The sequence below is a fragment of the Homo sapiens genome, chromosome 8 (assembly GCF_000001405.40).
Source record: "Homo sapiens chromosome 8, GRCh38.p14 Primary Assembly".
NCBI classification, from domain to species: domain Eukaryota; kingdom Metazoa; phylum Chordata; class Mammalia; order Primates; family Hominidae; genus Homo; species Homo sapiens.
Window position 1 is genome coordinate 141,571,445 of NC_000008.11, and position 21,238 is coordinate 141,592,682.

A 21,238-nucleotide genomic window follows, 5' to 3' on the forward strand; every position below is an offset into this window, starting at 1 on the left:
CTGGACAGTGGCAGTGGGATCCTGTTCACTGGGACGCTTGCCCCAAACACTAGAGACCGGCAGTTCTCACGTTCCATACCCCATGGGCTTCCTCCACCCAAGCCCAGTCGTCTATGGCCAAGTCTGCTTTCCAGTGGGGTGGGGGTGGATTGGCAGGGCCAAGCCTATGGTCAGCTCTGCTCTTAGCTGTGGTTTGGAGCAGGTGTCATTACCCAGCTGGTGGCAGGTGAAGAAATGGAGGCTCCTGAGTAGACAGCAGCCCTAGATCTGCAGGAAGCACAAAGGGGCCCTGGATCTGCCATCATCCAGTCCGCGGCCACCTCTCCTTCCACTATCCTTTCCCACACTTCCCTCCACGCCCCATGCCCCATGTTCCAGTTTCTTCCTGGGCTGCCTCCTGGAGCCCACGCTCTGCTCTGTCTCTGCCTTCCCATCCATTGTCCACCCGGTGACCCAAAGGAGCCAGGCTTGGGCTGCCTGAACCAGAAGCCCCTCCCCAGGGATGTCCTTAGACACTTTCAGCCCTGCTATTGGGACCACATGGCAGAGGGGGCAGAGTGGCCCAGCCCCAGTCAAGAAGAGCTGCCTGGATGATGAGGGGGTGTCTCCTGGAACCAGATGGAGGGAGCTGCTCAGCCTCAGCGAGGTGACAGCGGAGGAGCTGGGGAAGCGGCCCTCCTGCGCCCACCAGCCATGCTCAACTCTCAGCTCCCCACTGTCAGGGACTGAAAGTAGCCCCCCAAGAGATGTTCACACTCTGATCACTGGAACCTGTGCACGGGGTGCTATTTGGAAAACTGTTGTTTGCCGATGTGTTTAATTGGAGGATTTTGGGAGGAGAAACATACCTTGTAAAGGGTCCTTGTTAGAGGGAGGGAAGGGCAGTTAAGATGGTGGATGGGGTTGTGTGACCGGGAGCTGAGATTAGAGTGCTGTGGACATGCACCAGAGATGCCTGGAGCCCCGGAGCCGGCAGACGCAAGGAAGTTTGAAACACTTGGCTCTCCGGTTTTCTTCCTTGGTGTCTTCCTTGCCCACAGGGATTGGTGCTCCCCTGGGAAACGGGCAGGGTCTGATCCCCTGGCCCCCGCACCCAGCTCTGAGTGGACTTCCCATGACTATTTGTCAAAAGCTTGAGGGAGGGTCCCGGAGGCACAGCCCACCTTCCTGGGAAACCTCTGGGTACCTGGCTGCGGTGGTCTCATTGCTGGGCCTGTCTCAGTGCTGGGGTGAGCCTGAGTCCTCGGTGGGGGGCAGTGAGGAAGAGCAGTGTGCAGAAGGGGGCTCTGAGGCTGCTCGGGCCCCACCTGCAGATGCCAGAGCTTTTCCTCAAACATCTTCCAGGTGCGACCTTCACACCTTCTCCAGGGAACAGTCAGTGGGGGTATTTTGAATCACTCTGGGAGGCCATGACTTACTCTGTCTGCCGATGCACCGCCCTCTTGGCTGTACTTTTATGACTGCCAGGGACACTTCGGTGATGAGTGGCCTGCACGGGGCCTGAGAGCAATGCAGCTGTGTGCAGGGCGGGGTGGCGGGGGGGGACGGGGAGGGCGGAGGAGCCATTGGAGTGATTATGATGGAGCTGGCACTGGTCATAAACTTTAATCAACTTAAAACCCGCTTTTGGTATTAAACTTTACCAACCATTTAATACCCCTGGACAGGCCGAGTGTGGGAGCAGATGTCTGTCAGAGCCACCTTCCAGGATGTGCCAGGCCTGAGGCTGGTCCAGGTGCCCGAGGACAGCACTGTCTCCCATAGGCGTGCTGGGGTCTGGGCTTGGCTGGCAGGAGACAACCTGAGCTATGGCCTGAACAGGATGGGGGAGCTGGTTCTGGAGCTCCCACTGGCCTGTATGGCCTTGAGCAAGGCTGGTGAGATGTTCTGGTCCTCAGGGCCCCCAGGAGGTGATTCTGAGGTAGGAGAATAGGATCTGCATGCAGGGAACCTAAGGCTGATTCACACTCACTGGATATCAGAGGTTGCTCTTTTTCCTGCACAGCGGCTGAAAAATGAAAGTACCTCTGATTGGTCCCCTCTTGCAACCAATCAGGCTGGTCACAGGCCTATGCTTCACTCTGATTGGTCCCCTCCCACAACCAATCAGACTGATTGCAGGGCTACTCTTCATCCTGATTGGTCCCCTCATGCAACCAATCAGACTGGTTGTGAGCCACTACTTCATTTGAGTGAACCAATGAGAAAAGTCTAGAGGGTATTTAAACCCCAGAAAATTTTGTAACTGATGGCCGTGGAGCTGCTTGCTTGAGTGTCCTGCCACCCTGTGGAGTGTACTTTCATTTAAAATAAATCTTTACTTTTGCTGCCTTGCTTTATTTGTGCATTTTGTCTAATTCTTTGTTCAAAACGCCAAGAACCTGGACAACTACCCTCAACTGGTAACAATTCCAGAGGCAGGCAGCAGAGCCGGCAGCCCCCGGGGAGGATGGCCGCAGAGTGACTCCACCTCACATGCTCCTCAGTGACTCCTGCCAGCCTCAGCTGGACCTGGGATTGGAGTCTGCTCGCCTTCACAGATGGGGAAATTGAGGCTCCTAGAGGGTACAAAGTGGTCACAAGTCACACAACCAGGAGCAACAGATTTGGGGCACTCAGTGGACCCTGGATTGGACACACTGCAGATTGTCCCCAGAGGGTTCACAGCTCGGGGGAGGGAGCATGGTCCTGTCTGGGCAGAGCAGGGAGCTCCTTCCAGAGAGACAGGAAGCAGCACAAGAGTCGGCTGCTTGTGTCCTCCACTGTGCACTCAGGAGCCCTCTGAGCTGGGGGCTTCTGGAGACAACCCCCAGGCTCCTCATACCCAGGCAGCTGCGGTGAGTCCTTGGGTCACTTGATGTGTCCAGTCCTGAGCCCCCGCTCAGTCCCCTGCCCATCTCCGCAGCTCTGTCTGTGGTGACCTGGGAGGCCCACGGGGCAGTTTCAAACTCCTGGTGCTGATCAGGCCAGGGAGGAAGCTAAAGAGGCCCCAATGGGCTCCAGTCCTTCCTTCATTCATGTAACAAGCATTTATTAGGCCATTCCTGTGTGCTAGGACCCATGACAGGTGATGAGCAGGGAACATGCCTTGGCCTGCAGGGGGAGAGGAGCTTCCGTAGGCAGTTCCAGGCAGGAGTGGGACGTCTTATGGTGGGGGAAGCCCAGGAGCTCATGGAGGACAGAGCATGCTTCCCTTTGCAGGTGAGCGTTGAGTTGGGTATTGAGGGATGAGTAAGAGTTTGTCAGGAAGAGAAGGGGAGGAGAGGACTCTTCAATGCACAGTGAACAGACTATGCATTAGCAGAAAGGCATACAGCAGCTCCACAAGGCTTCAAATAACCCAGAGGAGGCACTGAAGAGGAGCAGATGTGTTGAGAGAGTCTGGAGGAGAAGAGATGCCGTCCACGGGTGACGGGTGGAAATCTGCATTAGGGAAGGCTTCCTGGAGGAGGTGGCTCTGCAGTGAGACCCTGAAGCACTGAGGGGACTAGAGGTGGACATTCCAGCTGAGGGAACAGCCTGGCCTTTCCCACCTGCCTTGGCTTTTTCTTTTCTGTGCAGCCACCATGGGTTCTCACCTTTATCTTTACAGCAAAGCAGAAAGTGGCCCTGGTGTGGCTGCACTTGAAGCACCTGCAGCCTGTCTGACGTCTCCTGAACTCACAGACGTCCTGCTGCAGAGACAGGCCATCCCCAGCCTGAGATGCTAAGACCCTGTGGCTCAGCCCTGTGGGGTCCAGTCTGGGCACAGACCATGGGAGGGGGCTGTCCCTCAGAGGGGTGCAGGGCCCACAGGCAGACATTTGATTGAATAGCAGTTGTGTTTCTAGGGCACTGGCCGAGCCGCAGGCTCTGGGTAATCTGTTGTCCTAGTTATCCCTGATCCTGGGCCATGGGGGTATCCTTGCAGCTGCATTTCTCGAGTGACGTGGAGGCTCGTTGAGATCCAGTGACTTGCTGAAGGTGCCAGTCAGCCCCACCACCACCATGGCGGTGGTAGGACATGAACCCACGTCTCAGGTGGCAAATGCCACATTGTCTTCAGGGCAGGTGCTGAAGTCCTTCGCTTCTGAGTGGGGCTGGCATTTACACTGTGAGCTCTTTGTTTGTTTGTTTGTCTGTTTTGTGAGACGGAGTCTGTCTCTGTCACCCAGACTGCTGGAGTGCAATGGCACGATCTTGGCTCACTGAGTTCTTTGACTATGGGCCAATAGCTTCTCATCCTCAGGGCTCGGTTTCCCCATCTGTCCAGGGAGGGGCTGGCCTAGATGCTCTCTGGGCTCCCTGCCAGCCAGTACTCATCTGCCCCACATGCCCCGGGTGGTCCCTGCCCTGCCCTGCCCCTCCCAGTGCTGATCCTGCCTGCCTGCCAAGAACCGTGTTGCCCTCGGGGGACAACAGTGGTTTCAGGTTCCCTCCAGGAAGCATGCCTGGGGAGAGGAGAAGACTCAGCGCTCACTTCCAAAACCCCCCATGTGCCCGAGTAGTGGGTGGCAGATGAAAGCTGACGAGTTGAATAAATGAGGGCATGATCAGGTTTTAGCAGACGTCATAGGAAACAGCTCAAGGCCCTGTTAATCAAGCATGCTGGGCTGTCTGTCAGAGAGGAGGGGGTCTCTCTGTGACCCAGGGATGGTTCTGAGATGCCAGGCCCTGTTCAAACCCTTCCAGGGGCTGCTTCGGTGCTGCTGCTGGGGTCCCAGCCTGCAGATCCCCCAGCCCTCAAAGTTCTGGGTACCAGGACTGATGAGGGTGCAGCTCAGAAGGCCCCGGTCCACTGCTGCCCACTCACTGCAGGAGCCAGGTACACCCAGGCAGGGATGACCTGGGATGCTGGGGACCCCTAATCCTTGTCCCCAGCACTATGGCAGGCTGGAGCTTTTTCTAGCTCTGTGACAGCTTTGCTATCTTGGGATGCCTAGAGCTGGGGCTTGTCTGCTCATTCAAGAAATATTCCCCAAGAGCTTCTGTGAGCCAGACACTGTCATAGGTTTTCAGATTCAGCAGTGAACAAGAGAAGGCCCAGCCCTGAGAGCAGCCATGCTGGGAGAGAGGGTTGAAGTTTATATTTCAGATGACAGAAATCCACAGGGCACTTTCTGCACCCAGCCTGGCATTAAGTGCTCCGTGAATCTGACCCCATTCAGTCCCGACCACAGCTCTCAGGGGAGGCTGCGCTTGCCTGTGCTACAGACACGGACCCTGGGCATGGGGACCGCAAGTGACCTCCAGGGTCACCACTCAGGAGGGACACAGCCAGCATTGGCACACAGGTGGTCCGGCTCCTGCTCCCAAGCCCTGCCGGATGCTGGTAATAAACACACAAGAACACGGTGCCCCAGAGTGACGAGAGTCAAGAACAAGCGTCTCTGAGTGACTGCTCTGCTGGCTGGGTGGGCAGTCAGGGCGGCCTCTCGGAGGAGGCGGCCTTTGAGCAGAGACTACAGTGGAGAGAAAGCGTGGGCTTGGCTGCAGAATGTGGACTGAGGGGTAAGTATGAGGAGCGTAGCCAGTGGCTGGGCCAGACATGGAGGGTCAGGAGTTTCCCCACCATAGACGGCTGCCAGGGGAGCTCCTAGATGTCGACCTGGTGTGTCCTCTGCAAACTGCCAGCCTCATGATCTCATCACCCTGACCTTGTAGTTCCACCAGCTCAGGCCCTGGCACCCCCAGCCCCCACTCTTTCTTAAGAGGAGAATCCAAGTGCACCCCATGACCCCTTCCCGGGCCTGTCTCACTCCATCTCCTCCCCTGCCCCTCGTTCCCTGGTTCCATCCCAAGGCCACCTTCTCCAGGTGGTTGCTGCTTTCTTTGGGTTCCTACAGCTTCTTCACTGGATTACCAGCCTCTGCTGTGAAGTGTCCGTTTTTGGGACCACAGCTCCTCTCTGGCTCTGGAGTGGGTGTTTCTCTGGGGTTGCTGAGGCAGTAGTAGGAGCTGGGACTGGCCTTGTATCCCCACAGTGTCCAAATACCCCTCGGTTGGCCACAGGGTCCAGGGTGTGTGCTCAGAAACCCTCCCCTGGAATTTGGAGGCATTGGCATTCGAATGGAGGTTGAGGCTCTGTCTTCCCATTGTTTCCCTGCCAAGATACAGTAAAGCAAAACAATCAGAGCCCTGATGTGTGGCTCTGGCGGGTGGAGGACATAATGAGAAGCCTCCTCTGGGGATTCTCCCCTCTCTCTTTGCAGGTGGAAGGAGCCCTGTGGACAGCTGTGAGGTCTCCCCAGCCCCTGAGAGGTGGGGTTGGCCTACGGGAAGTGGTGCTGCCTGTCCCGTGCTTGGGCACACGTGGGCTGCAGCCAGATCATTTAGAGAAGGAAGGTGGAGGCTGCTTGGAGGAGGGCACATGGGCAGGCAGGGGCTGGAGAGCCCCAGGAGGGAGCTGGGGCAGTGCCCAGGTAAGAGGCCTGAGCAGATATGCTGTGGCTGTGACCTGGACCCATAACAGGAACCCAAAATGCAGGTGAGGCTGAGGCAAGCAGACACCACGCTCCAGCAACACGGGCACCACCAGTGCAGCCACCATTTCCCAGCAGCCTACGCATTGTAGGACACTTGTCACGCATTGTCTCAAATGCCCACAACCACAAAAAGCAGCCACTGTTGTTCCCATTCTGCCTCCAAGGAAGCAAGTTCCGAGAAGCAAAGACATTCCCCATGGTCGGCCAATGGGAAAGTGGAAGAAATGGGGTTTCAACCCAGGTCAGAACCTGGTTCTGAGCCTAAGCCACTTCCCCTGCGAAGTCCTGGGGGGTGACTAGCAAGGCTGGCTGACAGCTTGGCTTTGGACAGGATAAGGTTGAGGTACCTGAGGGACCTCCTGGGAGATGGGAGCACTTGGTCTGGAACCTGTAACCTGGAAGAGAGAGCTGGGCTAGAGATGAGGATCCCACAGATGGGGCCGGAGGTGAAAATCCCACAGATGGGGCTGGAGGAGAGGAACCCACAGATGGGGCTGGAGGTGAGGATCCCACAGATGGGGCTGGAGGTGAGGATCCCATAGATGGGGCTGGAGGTGAGGGTCCCACAGATGGGGCTGGAGGTGAGGGTCCCACAGATGGGGCTGGAGCTGAAAATCCCACAGATGGTACCTGAGGTGAAAACCCCACAGATGGGGCTGGGTCATATCAACCCCTCAAGGGCAGGAGGAGAGGAGTAGCCAGCAGAGAGGTTGCTCACCTTCACTCCTCAGCAACCCCCTTCCACCAGCCCATTCTGAAGACTGCAAACTGAAGCAGGAGGTGCGGTCACCCGGCCTCTGTGCTGCAATGCAGGCTGGATCCTGGGCCAGTGTCTTGGCGTTGCTGCCCCCATGGCTGGACCCCCTGTGAGCCCTCAGCGTCCTCCCTCTTATCCCACAGCCCAGAGATGGCTCAGGGTTTTGTGGGAATCATGATGAATTGGTTGAGAGTCTCACAATTGCCGGGAAGGGGAATAATGAGTTGGAGCTTACAGTGTGGAATGGCAGGGAAGAGATGGGCAGGGAAGAGATGGGCAGAGAGGTGCTGGCAGCTCATTTCTCCTTTTCAAGGCCCAAGAGGCAGGTCCATCCAGGAGGGTGGGAGTGAGGGAGGAGGACGAGAGTCAGGAGGCCCTGCCAGAAGGGCCGAGCCAGGCTCCTGCTCCCTCAGTGGACATAGAGAAAACACGGCCATTGGAAGGTCCTGCTGGTCCCGAATTTTCTTCCAGTTTTGCAGAAATGTCCCACTCTTGGAAGGGACTGTGGAAACAGCTTTGCCCTTGGTCACACTCTGAGTCCTGGTTCTGGTCACAGACTGAGCCCTGGTCATAGGCTGAACTGTTACCCTGGTTATAGACTGGGCACTGATCCCCTTATATACTGAGCCCTGATCCTGGCCACTGACAGAGCCCTGATTCTGTTCACAGCCTGAATCTTGATGCCTTCTTACCAATCCCTCTAAAGAGATTACAGTGTGACTACAGGGATGAGACGGACATTCCAGACACAGTTAAGTAACAGCATCAGGCTGAGTCCATCTGTACTCTGGAAGTCCAGGAAGTCAGCTTGGCTACGTGGTCAGGACAATTTAGGCAGGCTTCCTGGCGTGGAAGCTGGAAGCCGAGGGACTCCAAGAACAGCCGGCTTGGTGGGGAGAGGACTGTGTGGACATGGGGGCAGCACCTAGGTGTCGGGGGGCCGAGGGCCCACTAGTGCCAGGTGTGGGAGGCCAGCAGGCCCTAAGGCAGGCATGGCAGACCCCTGCATCCTTTTCTCTTCTCCACGGGGCATGTGGGGCCCTGGGCTCCTGGAGAGGTTTCTGCGGGGTTGATGTGACTCTGGTCTCTCAGGTTGTCGCTCAGGCTCTCTGCTCCTGCTCTGCTGCCTCCGGCTGTCTTGGGGTCCCCATACATGCTTGGAGCAGTGGCCTGGCTGTGCAAGAGCCCACAGGACCTCTGGGCCACATGACAACATGCGGCTCAGCGCACGGTGGCCTGGGCCCACCCCTACTGTCCATGCCGTCGTGTTGCCTGCAAGAAGGAGGAGGGCCAGGAGTAAGGGTGCAAAATGGGAAGGACGTTCTGGGATGTGTCCCTCTCCCCTGGAAAAGAGAGCTTAACCACCAGGATGCTCGGGCTGTGAGTGGAAGAACATGAAACTCAAAAAGGCTTAAACATGAAAGGATATTTATTGGCTGGTGTAACTGAAAAGATCAGCGTTCGTTTCCAGCGTTCATTTCCAACTGCACAAACAGTATCTGCAGCGTTCAGCCTCTCTCGTTTCCTTTGATCTTCTCTGGGTCGGGTCCATCTGTGGGCTCCCGCGGAGGCGGAGTGACAGCCCTCACCTCCTGGCCAGATTCCTGCCAGGCTGATGTTCATGGCAAACGGGAAACATCTTCACAGCAATTTCCTCTCAGTCCCAGTGATCCCTCTGTTTGACCACCTGGCGCCACGGGCCCGGCTCTGAGCCGGCCACTGTGGCCAGGGGCATTGGTGCTCTGACCGGGTCACCCTCTGTCATGCACCTCCAGGGAGGGAAGGGGGCTCCCCCAAAAGAAATCCAGGTGATTCTTTGCTGAGGGGCAGTGCTTCTCACTCTGGCCACACAGTTCTGTGGATGCCTCCAGGCCTGAGTCAGTCTCCCCTTCCCTGGGAGCCCCCCAGGCCACAGCAGCCCTTCTAAAGTGCTCAGGGCCTGGAAGGAGCTAGATGCGGCTGCAGTCTCTTCGCCCGCCCCGGGGGTAGTGGAAGAAGATTCTCCATCAAGGATGAAGAAGGGGAGGCCTCAGCCCGACCCACACAGCAGACCCATCAAATCGTAACTGAAGAAGACCCTTCCTGCCTGGGGGAGCCGCGAGCCAGGAGTGCCCCTTGGCTGACAACACTGCCTGGGGGAGCCACCAGCCGGGAGCGCCCCTCGGCTGACAACACTGTGATGGGACTGAGATGGGGCGGAACCTCGAGAGTCAGGAGTCAGGGTCCCCAGGGCAGAGCTGTTGCGACTAACAGCGAAAAGACCGAAGGACCCTCCACCCAAAGCCCCGCGGAGGAGCCAGAGACACAGAGCCGCGGTGGGGCTGGGAGCCTCAGGATTGTGTGCAGTGGACAGGAAGCTCCGCATGGGGCAAAGGGGCTCGGACACTTCTTGCCTCCTGAGGCCTACCCCTCATGGCTTTGTGATGAGTGATGGGAGAGGCAGCTGGGGCAACACTGGTGAAGCTGGACCAGGCCCTTCAGGAGCTGATGGCAGGGCCTGGGCCGTCCACCCCTTGAGAGAGGGTGGGGGACAAAATGTTGAGTCAGAAAGAGACAGGAAGACAGTGATAGAGACAGAGAGAGCCTGGGAGAGAGACAGAGAGACCGAGAGAGACAGGGAGACAGAGAGAGACAGGTGGAGACTGGGAGAGAGAGACAGGAAGAGAGACAGAAAGAGACAGAGAGAGACAGAGAGAGACTTGGGGAGAGAGAGACAGGGAGATATGGAGAGACAGAGAAAGAGACAGAGACAGGGAGACAGAAACAGAGAGAGAGAGACAGAAACAGAGAGAAACTTGGGGAGAGAGAAATAGGGAGATACAGAGAGACAGAGAAAGAGACAGACAGGGAGACAGAAACAGAGAGAAACTTGGGGAGAGACAGACAGGGAGATAGAGAGAGACAGAAAGAGGCGGGAAACCCAGGGATGGGGAGACATACAGACAGATGCACAGAGAGAGAGACAGACAGAGACCGCCTCGGCGAGGCAGTCACGAGGCTGGGAGGCGGAGCAGGAGTCAGCGCTGAGGAGGGCACAGGGGACATGCCTGACTCCGTCTGGGTGCCAGGCCCAGAGCCGGGCATTTCCCATAGTCATCGGCCCCCTGCCCGCCCCCAGCATGTCGAGGAAGGGAGGAGTATTTTTAGTTCCATCTTGAAGACGGGCACAGGAACGGAGAATAACTGCCTGAAAGCACTGTCCCTGGTCTGAGCGGCCCTTGGAAAGGCTCAGCCTGGGTGAGCTGGAGGCAGGAGGGAGGGAGAGGGCAGGAGAGACAGGGGAGGGACCAGTGAAGGGAGGGGACAGACTCAGCAAGGGGCAGGCTGAGATCAGAGGGCAGAGGGCAGAGATGAAAGGGTGAGGCCAAGGAGGGATGTAGAGAGCTCTGTGCTGTGCTGGGTCTTCCCCCAGAGCGTGACTGGGGTTCCCTAGGGCTCTGCGCTCCCAGGTGGGTCACCCTGCGTCTCTCTCCTCAGCCCAGGCCTTGCTGCTTCCCATAACAGTTACAAGCACTGGCTCTGCCATCGGAGATGAAAGGGTACACGTGGGGTTCTCCGACCTTCCAGCCGTGTGACCTCGGACTGTGAGTGGACCTCTGGGCCTTGGTTTCTGAGTCTTAGCTACCTCATAAGGGGGTGGTTGGGATGAAATGAGTTAATCCATAGAAAGTGCTCAACCAGGGCCCAGTCAATGCTGGCCATGCTGTTGTGCTCTGGGCCCCAAGATGGGGGTGGGCTGAGGGCAAAGGCCGCCTTCCTGCCAGCACCTGGACACTCAGCCCCCGACTGCCAGCAGGCGCCCAGGCTCTTTCTTGGCTGAGCTGAGCAGCTATCTTAGGTCGTAATCCAGCTGCATTTGACTCCTGTTCTCTTTTTGTCTAACTTCCCGCGGGGAGCAGAGACCTCTGTTTGCTTAGCTCCCTCCACTTGCCTTCCTCGAATGTGGGAACCCCGGACTCTGTCTTGGAAAAGACCTGGCCTCTCCTTCTCTGGGTTGGGTCCATCCGTGGGCTCCCGCAGAGGCCTGTGGTTGCAGAGACCGGAAGCTGCAGCTTCAGGAGGGTAAGTGACTGTGCCCAGGAGCCGCACTGAGCAGCAGCGGGCTCCGCAGGGCCTCCAGGCTCCCCCGGGCATCAGTGCGTGCTGCCACCTCCCCCTTCTCTGTGAGCTGGCACTGTGAGGCTGAGGGGCACAGGCTGGGGCAGGAATCTCGGTTCTTCCCAGCTCTGTGAGAACTGGGAGATGCTCGAGAACTATCCCATCCCCGGATCTCAGTTCCCCCATTGTAACGGGGCAGCTGGACTCAGGGATGTCCAGTCCCCATGCTGGATCCCACCTTCATCTCCCTGTGTGAGATGGGGGTGGTGTCCTGTGCCCCATCCCTATCCCTGGGCCTGAATTCCCAGCTGCTGTACTGGTGCCCGGGTCCCTGGGTCCCTCCCACCCTGAGCCGCCTCCAGACCAAGCTATTGTCTCGGATCCAAGCAGCCAGGCTGGCTGGGCCTGGAGCGGGACGGGAGGACTGCGGGATTGCTGAGCCAGGAGGGGAACAGAGCACCTGCTTCCCTGTGACTGCCTCTTGGAGCGCTAATCATGGAGTTGTCCCAGAGCAGGGCTCCTCACTGAGCCCTTCAATATCTGATCTGTCATGGAAGAAAAATGTTGCGTTTTGTGTCTGAGACCTTTCCTTGATCCCATCTTGCAAAAGAGAAAGAAAGAAAAAAGAAACAACAAAGGCTGCCGGGAGAGTGAGAGATTTGAGAGGAGCATTTCTGAGGGAGCCGTGAGTGTCGGGAAGGGTGGGCCTGGGGTCACGGAGCGCTTTCTGGAAAGCCGTGGTGAAGCATCACCCGGTACCAGCCGCCTCGCTAGCTCTTGCCATAGCAGCAGCGTGAACAAGCGTCCCGCCATTTAGTGGCTCAAAACAACAAGGTGCCGTGGTTTCTCCCGAGCCTCGGGTGGGTCTAATCCACCTGCGAGGCTTGCTGGCAAGTCTGTGGTTAGCAACGGGCTGGCCGGGAGGCTCTGCTGGTCTGGCCTGGGCCTTCTCACATGCCTGGGACAGTGGGGCTGGGTGGGCTCGCTCCCCTGCGGGCTTCTCATGGCAGGGGCTGGGTCTGGGGAGGCAGGGGGGTAGAAGCTCATGCCGTGTCTTGAGGCCCAGGCTCGGGGTCATCTCTTCTGCCGTATTCTGTAGGCCAAAGCCAGTTCTGGGCCAGTCCTGCTTCCAGAGATGGAAAGTGGGCTTGGCAGCAGAGCGGCTTTAAATGGTGCAAAGGATGGAATGTTTGTGTCCCCCAAACTCACACATTGAAATCCTAGCCCCGAAGGTGATGGTATGAGGCGGTGGGGCCTATGGGAGGGGAGGGGGGCGTGAGAATGTTGTCCTCATGAATGGTACCACGCCCTGATAAAAGGGACCCCAGGGAGGTGCCTGGTCCCGTGTGAGGACTGAGTGAGAAGGTGGGGTTGAAACCTGGAAATGTCCCTCCCCAGACACTGCCAGTGCCCTGATCTCAGCCTCCAGCCTCCAGAATGGCAAGAAATAGATCTCTGTTGTTTGTAGGTCATGCAGTCTGTGGAGCTTGGGTGTAGTAGCCCAAACGGACTGAGACAATGACAATGGGAGAGGAAAATAAATCTCAGGACCCCAAATCACTAAGCTAGAGGGAAAAGGCAAGCTGGGAACTGCGTGAGGCAAACCTGTCTCCGATTTATTCCTAAATAGGACAGCTACGAAGATAAAAAAGCTACACAGCTCCCTCACCACTTGCCCACAGGGTATTCCCTGTGGACCTCAAGATCTTTACTATGAAGCAGTTCTGTTGAATTTTACCAATGTAAACTGATAGCTTATCTTCACAGGCATGGGACAGAAAGTCATCCCTCCGCTCACCTGAGACAAATACTTATCTGATTGTTTTCTGATATGATTTGGCTCTGTGTCCCCACCCAAATCTCATCTTGAATTATAATCCCCACGTGATGAAGGAGGGGCCTGGAGGGAGATGACTGGAGCATGGGGCAGATTTCTCCCTTGCTGTTCTCATGATAGTGAGTGAGTTCTCACGAGAGCTGATGGTTTTCGAGTGTGGCACTTCCCCTGCTCCCCGCCTCCTGCCACCATGTAAGATGTGCCTGCCTCCACTTCCACCATGATGGTGAGTTTCCTGTGGCCTCCCCAGCCCTGCGGAACTGTGAGTCAATGAAACCTCTTTTCTGTGTAAATTACCCAGTCTCAGGTAGTTCTTTTTAGCAGTGTGAAAACAGACTAATGCACTTCCTCTGCCCTATTGTTTATGTAAAAATGCAGATTCACTGAGCTACACTAAGGACTCAGGGAAAGGCTAATCAGAGACTCAGAAGAATGCAACTGCTTGTCTCTTATCTACCTGCGACCTGGAAGCCTCTTACTTCGAGTTGCTCTGCCTGACTGGACTGAACCAATGTTCATCTTACATATATTGACTGATGTCTTACGTATCCCTAAAATGTATAAAACCCAGCTGTGTCCTGAACACCTTGGGCACATGTTATCAGGACCTCCTGAGGCTGTGTCACAGGTGTGTCCTTAATCTTGGCAAAATAAACTTTCTAAATTGACTGAGGTCTGTCTCAGATCCTTCAGGGTCACAGCAATCAGGGAGAGTTGTCTTCCCCAAGCCCCGAGAGACTGCAGCAGGCCGAGGCTGGGGACTGTCAGGAGCAAGAGGAGCCAAGGTGTGGATGGAGTGAAAGGCCCATAGGGGGACCTGTCTACGCGATGGATATACCCGAGGGCTCCCCTATCCTGCCTGTAATTACACGAATGTGGGGGGGACAGTGGGGACATGAGTCCACTGCACACTTACCCACCCTGGACCAATGCATAGTAGGTGCTTCACACACACTTGCTGAAGGTTCAGCCCAGCCTCATGTCCCCTAGAAAGCCCTCCCTGGTCATTCACCCTGGATCAACACATAGTAGATGCTTCACACGCACTTGTTGAAGGTTCAGCCCAGCCTCATGTTCCCCAGAAAGCCCTCCCTGGTCATTCAGTCTGTCATGGAGTGAGGCGGGTCAGTTTCATGGTCCAGGACACAGACCCCAGGGCCAGGTCTGGCAGGTTTTCATGCGACTTGGGCTCTCCCTGGCTGAAGGGTCTCGGGCACGTGTCTTAGTCTCCTTGCATCCTAGTTTTGTTGAAGAAAAGAGTCAACCTCTGTAAAATATTTGAAGAGATTTATTCTGAGCCAGATATGAGTGATCATGGCCCATGACACAGCCTCAGGAGGTGGAGAACATGTGCCCAGGCTGGTCAGGGCACAGCTTGGTTTTATCCATTTTAGGGAGACATTAGACATCAATCAAATACATTGAAGATATACACTGCTTTGATCCAGAAAGGTGGAACAACTTGAAACAGGGGCTTCCAGGTCTGTTATGGTGTGGCTCTGTGTCCCCACCCAAATCTCACCTTGTAGCTCCCATAATCCTCACATGTTGTGGGAGGGACCTGGTGGGAGATAATTGAATCATGGGGATGGACCTTTCCCATGCTGTTCTCGTGATACTGAATAAATCTCAAGAGATCTGATGGTTTTAAAAATGAGAGTTTCCCTACACAAGCTCTCTCTTTGTCTGCTGCCATCCCTGTAAGATGTGACTTGCTCCTCCTTGCCTTCCACTGTGATCGTGAAGCCTCCCCGGCCATGTGGAACTGTAAGTCCATTAAACCTCTTTCTTTTGTAAATTGCCCAGTCTTAGGCACATCTTTATCAGCAGTGTGAAAATGGACTAATACAAGGTCATAGGTAGATTTAAATTTTTCGAATTGGCAATTGGTTGGAAGAATTATTTTTTTCATGCAGATGAAGGCTCCAGGTAGCAGGCTTTAGAGAAAAGAGATTGCAAATGTTTCTTATCAGACTCAAGTTCTGTGTTGATGTGAATGCCGGAGAGGTATAATGAGGCGTGTCCACCCCCCTGCTTCCCGTCATGACCTAAGCCAGTCTTTCAGGTTCAATTTTAGAGTGCCCTGGATGAGGAGGAAGTCCATGAAGATGGTTGGGGGGCTTATAAATTTATTTTTGGTTTGCAGTTTCCTTGTCTGTAAAATGGGGAGAAAAGGCACAGCCCTGCTATGTTGTCTTGGGGCCAGTTCTCCACTGGAGGGCAGGGGGACAGCTGCCCACAGCCAAAGAGGAAGCACCTGCCATGTGGTCAGTGCTTAGGAAGTGTTAGTGAAAGGGGAGGAAGCCAGATGCAAAAGGCCTCACATCCCACCCAGGAGATACCCAGGACGGGTGCATCTGCCGAGATGGGCGCAGTGCAGACAGGGGGTTGCCAGGCACCACAGGGAGGGATGTGGAGGACTGACCATGGGTGCAGGCTTTCCCTCTGGGGTGATGAAAATGTTTTAGAATTAGGGAGAGGGGGTGGCTGCGCAGCATCGTGAATGTGCTCAGTGTTGTCGGATTGGACACTTCAGAATGGTTGGTTTTGTGTGATGTGAATTTTGCCTCAATTTAAAAAAAGCCTTAGCTGTGATTCTTCACCAGATACTCCAGAAATACCAACCGAGCACCAACACTGTGCTGGGCACAGGCTGGGGACACAGAGGTTGGCAGGGCAGGCGGGTGTCTTGTTCTCACAGAGTCTGCATCCTGGTGACTTGTTTATTCACTCAACAAACTCCTGCACGAGGTCGTGAAGCCCCATGGCATGCCGGCTCCCGAGACCAGACTCCAGTGTGGCCATGACTGCCTTCAATTTCCTGCTGGCTTGTGGCTTTGCCTGCCTCTTATCCACTCCTGCCCACGTGTTTGTGCCACTGGGTGTGGCTCTAGCCAGACTCCCGGTTGCCTGAACCCTCAGTCAACACCTCTGCCTCCAGTTTCCTGCTCGGTGTGTGGGGCAGGGCCTCCAGGGCTGCTCAGCGGAGACTTGCTGGATTGAAGGGAGCATAGCTCATTGCAGGCTGGTGCCCCTCCCCTGAGATTCCCCAACTCCCAGCAGCAACTTCCTGGGAAGCCTGGGACGTGATGACTCACTGTGAATTTGGGCAGTTCACTTCTTGTCTCTTCATCCAGAAGTTGAAGGTGTCCACTCAGTAACCCCTGCGGTCCTTCTAGATCCAGCCTTCTCTGGGCCTGTCCAGTGGTTTTGTGACCCAACCCCACGGTAATACTTAAGTGCAGTGATTCTATTCTGGGAGGCTCAGTTTCTGTTTTGACTACATGACTTGTTTCTGTGATCTCATTATTTTATTCTATGATCCGGGTGCAGTCTTCCATTATTAATGTCCGTGATGGGATGATTCTCTGGGTCCTCTAGAGATGTGCTTGAAAGCTGGGGTGTATGGAAAGCCAGAGGAGGGGAAGGCAGGCTCCCACAGTCCCCACTGTCCCCCTATATTCGTGTAATTACAGGCAGAATGAGGGAGCCCTCCAACCCCGCCCCAGATCAGCGAGCTGTGTCCTAGCAAGGACCCCACCAGCAGGACAGCTTCTGGGGCCCTCACACTGTCCTGCCATTGTATCTGCCCCAGGAGGGTGCCAGCCTGGGAGTGGGGCTAGGGGACAAGACGAAACTTCCCTGATGGACAGAGTGAGCCAGGAGGAGCCCAGGTGGAAGGGGACATGGGCGAGAGAGCTGGAGGGTGGACAAGAACCTGGAGCGGAGGCACATCTCGGCGGGGACGGAGGGGATGAGAGGCACCACGGCCATGAGGACAGCGCAATTGGAGGCTGCGGCTAAGAGCCGTTGACGATTACAAGAGACAAATTGACACACTCAGATCTGTTAGTCATCAATTTAACACAAATTGTGGGGGTCGGAGGGCCTCCTTGGAAGCATTGGAAGAGAACTAATTCCCTGCATCAGGGGCCAAGCAGGCTTGGGAAGACACACAGGACTGAATTGGAAGGAAGGAGAGGAGCTGAGTTCTCAGAAGCTGGGTCTCCTACCACCGCTGGGTCCTGACGGGGAAGGGGCAGACCCTGAGCCTGGGGGCATTTCTGGAGAGATGCAGTGAGAACCCTGAGCCCCTCCCCACCCTGCCCTGCCCTGGGGTTCTACAGACACGGCCCTAGAGGCACTGAGTAAGGTGGGTACCTGCAAGACAGTGTTGCCCCTTCCTGGATCTGCCAGCTGGACTCACAATAGGGTCAAATCCCAGCAAAATGGGAGGGAGGAGCTGGGCCTGCTGAGGGGGCAGCTGCTAGCCTGGTGGTGGTGCCTGCAGGCCTGGGGCGAGGTGCTGCTGGAAGTGGCGGGGAGGTGGGCACGGAGGGAGATAAAGGAGCCCGTGGGTCTCGGGGTGCTCTCCCCTGAGGCTGGATTTTGGCCCACCAGGGTCCTGGGCAGCCGGGCTGCTCTGCTCCTGGGGCAGTTCCTGGAAGCTTTCCATTAAATGAAGGAGAGGCCAGCACTTGCACGCCCAGCCCCAGAGGATGGGGTCAGGAAGCTTTGAGGAGTGGTCTTGCCGGGAGAGTTTCACTGCATGGAACTGGAGCCCACCAGGTGTTCACCAAGGTGATCAGGACTGCCCCAACAAGGGCCACCTGTGCGAGGAGAGGCTCGGCGATGCCTGTCCTCTCTAGCTGTTGACAGCAGGAGTTGCTGTTATTGAACTGGGCTCCCCCAGAAGCAACAGGGTGAGAAGGTGCCAGACTTGCAGAAGCTGGTGGGGGACTCTACTTCATTGCAGAAGCAAGGTGGGGGGAACTATAGGGGGCCCTAGAACACTGTGCTCCTAGGGGCAAGATAATTGGGCAGGCATGAAGACATCTGCTAATATATAATCAGTAGAAGTCAAGGATGGATGAGCGGAAGGTCAATGTCAGCTGCCTGGTGCCAGATCCAGGCAAGTTCTCAGACCCAGAGTCCCTCAAGGTAAGGAGTGGTGGGATCCCCGTGTCTGGCGACAGAAAAGTTAAGAGGGCCTAGAGTGGTCAGGGAGCTAGAGGAATTGTGCAGGGCAGACAGCCAGTGGGGCCGGGAGGCTGGGCACATTCCCGACGATGGCTCTCAACCTTGACATATCAGGGATGTGTGTGCATATGTGCATGTGTGTGTGTATGTATGTGTGTGCAGGCGTGTGTGTGCATGTGTATGTGTGTGCACACGTGTGTACAGGCGTGTGAGTGTGCGCGTGCACGTGTGTGTGTGCCAGAGAGAAGGAGAGAATTGAAGAGTTGGAGAGTTTTACTGGATGCCTTGCCTTTGCCTTCTGATAATGCCCAACACAGCTTGTCTCTACCCCTCCAGTGGTCCCCTAGAGTGGGTATTCTTCCCATTTCGCAGAGGAGAAGGTTGAGGCTCAGGAAATCAATCAACCCCTGGAACTTCCAGGGCCGGGGCCAGGCTTTGACCTCTAGTGTGTCCATCTCTGAAGCCCACACTTTCCCCTGCTGTCCCTACTGGGAGTCAGACTGGACAGGGCCAGTGAGCAAAATTGCTGAAGCCAGCCAGCCAGACCTACGACTGACAGCCTGACCTGGTTGGTGCGGGCTCCCTCTCCTGCAGCCTGCGTGACCCTAGGTGAATGACTCAGCATCTCTGACCTTCAGGTTCCTCATCCGCAAATCGTGCATGCAGGTTCACAGCCCCCATCCGCAACATGAACCCAAAATGTGCTTGAACAAACCAGCCCACTTGAAATTTGTGTGGCGGTGCACCCAACCTCAACAGATGCATCTGGGATCTCTGTCTGTCTCACCCAGTGTGAATATGAATGGATTTTGCTGCGAAACTACTGCTGTCTGTGTTGTGGGAGCCCCCAGCCCCAAGAGGGTGTTATATGATAGGCACTTTGTGATAAGAGAGCACCATACCGCTCTTCTAAAATCCCAAACACTCTGATTCACGCTCCCTCTGGACCCAGGGCTTGGGTCAGGGATCAGGGCTTGCAATGACAGCGGTCATCTGCAGGCAGAGGCGGGGCTGCTATGGGGGCCGCCTGAGTCCGGCAGGGGCAGCGCCGACCGGTACCATCTGTTCCACGCCCTCCTCATGTTCCTGCAGGCAGACCCAGCTTTCCAAGGCCCCACAGCTCAGGAATGCCCCAGCCTGGACTTGAACCTATGTCCATCCGAGCCCCACACTCTCTCCACCTCCCCAGCATCTGCAGTACGGGTGACACAGGGGGGCTGCCTGCAGGGGCAGGCAGGGAGGGTGCTGTCCCTGCAAGGGAACAACAAGGAATGTTCAGCCCTGGAAACCGCCTCAGCCCCATCAGCTTTCCCAGGGGCCACACCTCGGGACAGTGCAGGGAACACCCCTAGAGACCTACAGGGCACTCAGTGTTGTTCTGGACGTTGGCGGCTCCAGCTCCTGTTCCTCTGGAAGGCCTGGCTCCCTCCCCTTCTGAGTGAAGGTGGGAGGTCTCCTCACCTGGAGTGCTGGTGATTAGTGGAGACTGTCCCCCACGTTCCCAAGCCCCCATGCTGGAACACTGAAAAGGTTCCCTGGAGGGTGACGTCCCCATTGTGGTGGAGCCTGGTGAGGGGAGATGGAGCACACTTTGCCCAACACTGGGGAGAGAACTCTTCGCCTTCACGGAGTTGTGCTGGGGGAGGCCCTGTGCTGTGTGGAAGTGGGTTTGTCTCAGCCCTGCCATCCATGCTTCTGCCTGGAACTTCCGGAGCCTCAGTTTCTTTTTCTGTGAAACAGGGTCACAGAACTTCTCTCCCACAGAGGTCGTGCAGCCTGAATGAGGCAGCGTCTCAGTGCCTGCCCTGTGTGGGACCCCAGGCGGACACAGCCCTTGTTCCTCATTCCTCCTCCTCCCACCTGGGCAGAGGTCGAAGTTCCCTCAGCTTGGGCGCGTGGTCCTCCCTCAGCTTGGGTGTGTGTGTGTTGTTCTCTGAGCCTGGGTGTGTGATCCTCCCTCAGCCTGGGTGTGTGTTGTTCCCTCAGCCAGGGTGTGTGTTGCTCCCTCAGCCTGGGTGTGTGTTGTTCTCTCAGCCTGGGTGTGTGTTGTTCCCTCAGCCTGGGTGTGTGTTGCTCCCTCAGCCTGGGTGTGTGTTGCTCCCTCAGCCTGGGTGTGTGTTGTTCCCTCAGCTTGGGCGTGTGGTCCTCCCTCAGCTTGGGCGTGTGGTCCTCCCTCAGCTTGGGTGTGTGATCCTCCCTCAGCTTGGGTGTGTGATCCTCCCTCAGCTTGGGTGTGTGTGTGTTGTTCCCTCAGCCTGGGTGTGTGTGTGTTGTTCCCTCAGCCTGGGTGTGTGTTGTTCCCTCAGCCTGGGTGTGTGTTGCTCCCTCAGCCTGGGTGTGTGTTGTTCCCTCAGCTTGGGTGTGTGTGTGTTGTTCCCTCGGCTTGGGTGTGTGTGTGTTGTTCCCTCAGCCTGGGTGTGTGTGTGTTGTTCTCTCAGCTTGGGTGTGTGTGTGTTGTTCCCTTAGCCTGAGTGTGTGTGTGTTGTTCTCTCGGCTTGGGTGTGTGTGTGTTGTTCCCTCAGCCTGGGTGTGTGTGTGTTGTTCCCTCAGCCTGGGTGTGTGTGTGTTGTTCTCTCGGCTTGGGTGTGTGTGTGTTGTTCCCTCGGCTTGGGGGTGTGTGTGTGTTGTTCCCTTAGCCTGAGTGTGTGTGTGTTGTTCTCTCGGCTTGGGTGTGTGTGTGTTGTTCCCTCAGCCTGGGTGTGCGCATGTTGTTCCCTCAGCCTGGGTGTGCGCGTGTTGTTCCCTCGGCTTGGGTGTGTGTGTGTTGTTCCCTAAGCTTGGGTGTGTGTGTTGTTCCCTCGGCTTGGGTGTGTGGTCCTCCCTCAGCTTGGGTGTGTGTGTGTTGCTCCCTCAGCCTGGATGTGTGTTGTTCCCTCAGCTTTGGTGTGTGTTGTTCCCTCTGCTTGGGTGTGTGTGTGTTGTTCTCTCGGCTTGGGTGTGTGTGTGTTGTTCCCTCAGCCTGGGTGTATGTGTGTTGTTCCCTCAGCTTGGGTGTGTGCATGTTGTTCCCTCGGCTTGGGTGTGTGTGTGTTGTTCCCTCAGCTTGGGTGTGTGTGTGTTGTTCCCTCAGCCTGAGTGTGTGTTGTTCTCTCAGCTTGGGTG

The 21,238-nt window shown here is 56.3% G+C and overlaps 5 annotated features.

Moving 5' to 3' along the window:
• Positions 3,816-4,316: an enhancer, noted in NCBI's record as "H3K4me1 hESC enhancer chr8:142585360-142585860 (GRCh37/hg19 assembly coordinates)". NCBI's record gives its function as "activates a minimal SCP1, AML or CMV promoter by ChIP-STARR-seq in primed H9 embryonic stem cells {active_cell/tissue: H9 hESC(primed)}" and the evidence as "EXISTENCE:reporter gene assay evidence [ECO:0000049][PMID:30033119]".
• Positions 5,879-6,868: an enhancer, noted in NCBI's record as "H3K4me1 hESC enhancer chr8:142587423-142588412 (GRCh37/hg19 assembly coordinates)". NCBI's record gives its function as "activates a minimal SCP1, AML or CMV promoter by ChIP-STARR-seq in naive H9 embryonic stem cells {active_cell/tissue: H9 hESC(naive)}" and the evidence as "EXISTENCE:reporter gene assay evidence [ECO:0000049][PMID:30033119]".
• Positions 9,537-10,036: an enhancer, noted in NCBI's record as "H3K4me1 hESC enhancer chr8:142591081-142591580 (GRCh37/hg19 assembly coordinates)". NCBI's record gives its function as "activates a minimal SCP1, AML or CMV promoter by ChIP-STARR-seq in naive H9 embryonic stem cells {active_cell/tissue: H9 hESC(naive)}" and the evidence as "EXISTENCE:reporter gene assay evidence [ECO:0000049][PMID:30033119]".
• Positions 10,925-11,738: an enhancer, noted in NCBI's record as "H3K4me1 hESC enhancer chr8:142592469-142593282 (GRCh37/hg19 assembly coordinates)". NCBI's record gives its function as "activates a minimal SCP1, AML or CMV promoter by ChIP-STARR-seq in naive H9 embryonic stem cells {active_cell/tissue: H9 hESC(naive)}" and the evidence as "EXISTENCE:reporter gene assay evidence [ECO:0000049][PMID:30033119]".
• Positions 18,234-18,752: an enhancer, noted in NCBI's record as "H3K4me1 hESC enhancer chr8:142599778-142600296 (GRCh37/hg19 assembly coordinates)". NCBI's record gives its function as "activates a minimal SCP1, AML or CMV promoter by ChIP-STARR-seq in primed H9 embryonic stem cells {active_cell/tissue: H9 hESC(primed)}" and the evidence as "EXISTENCE:reporter gene assay evidence [ECO:0000049][PMID:30033119]".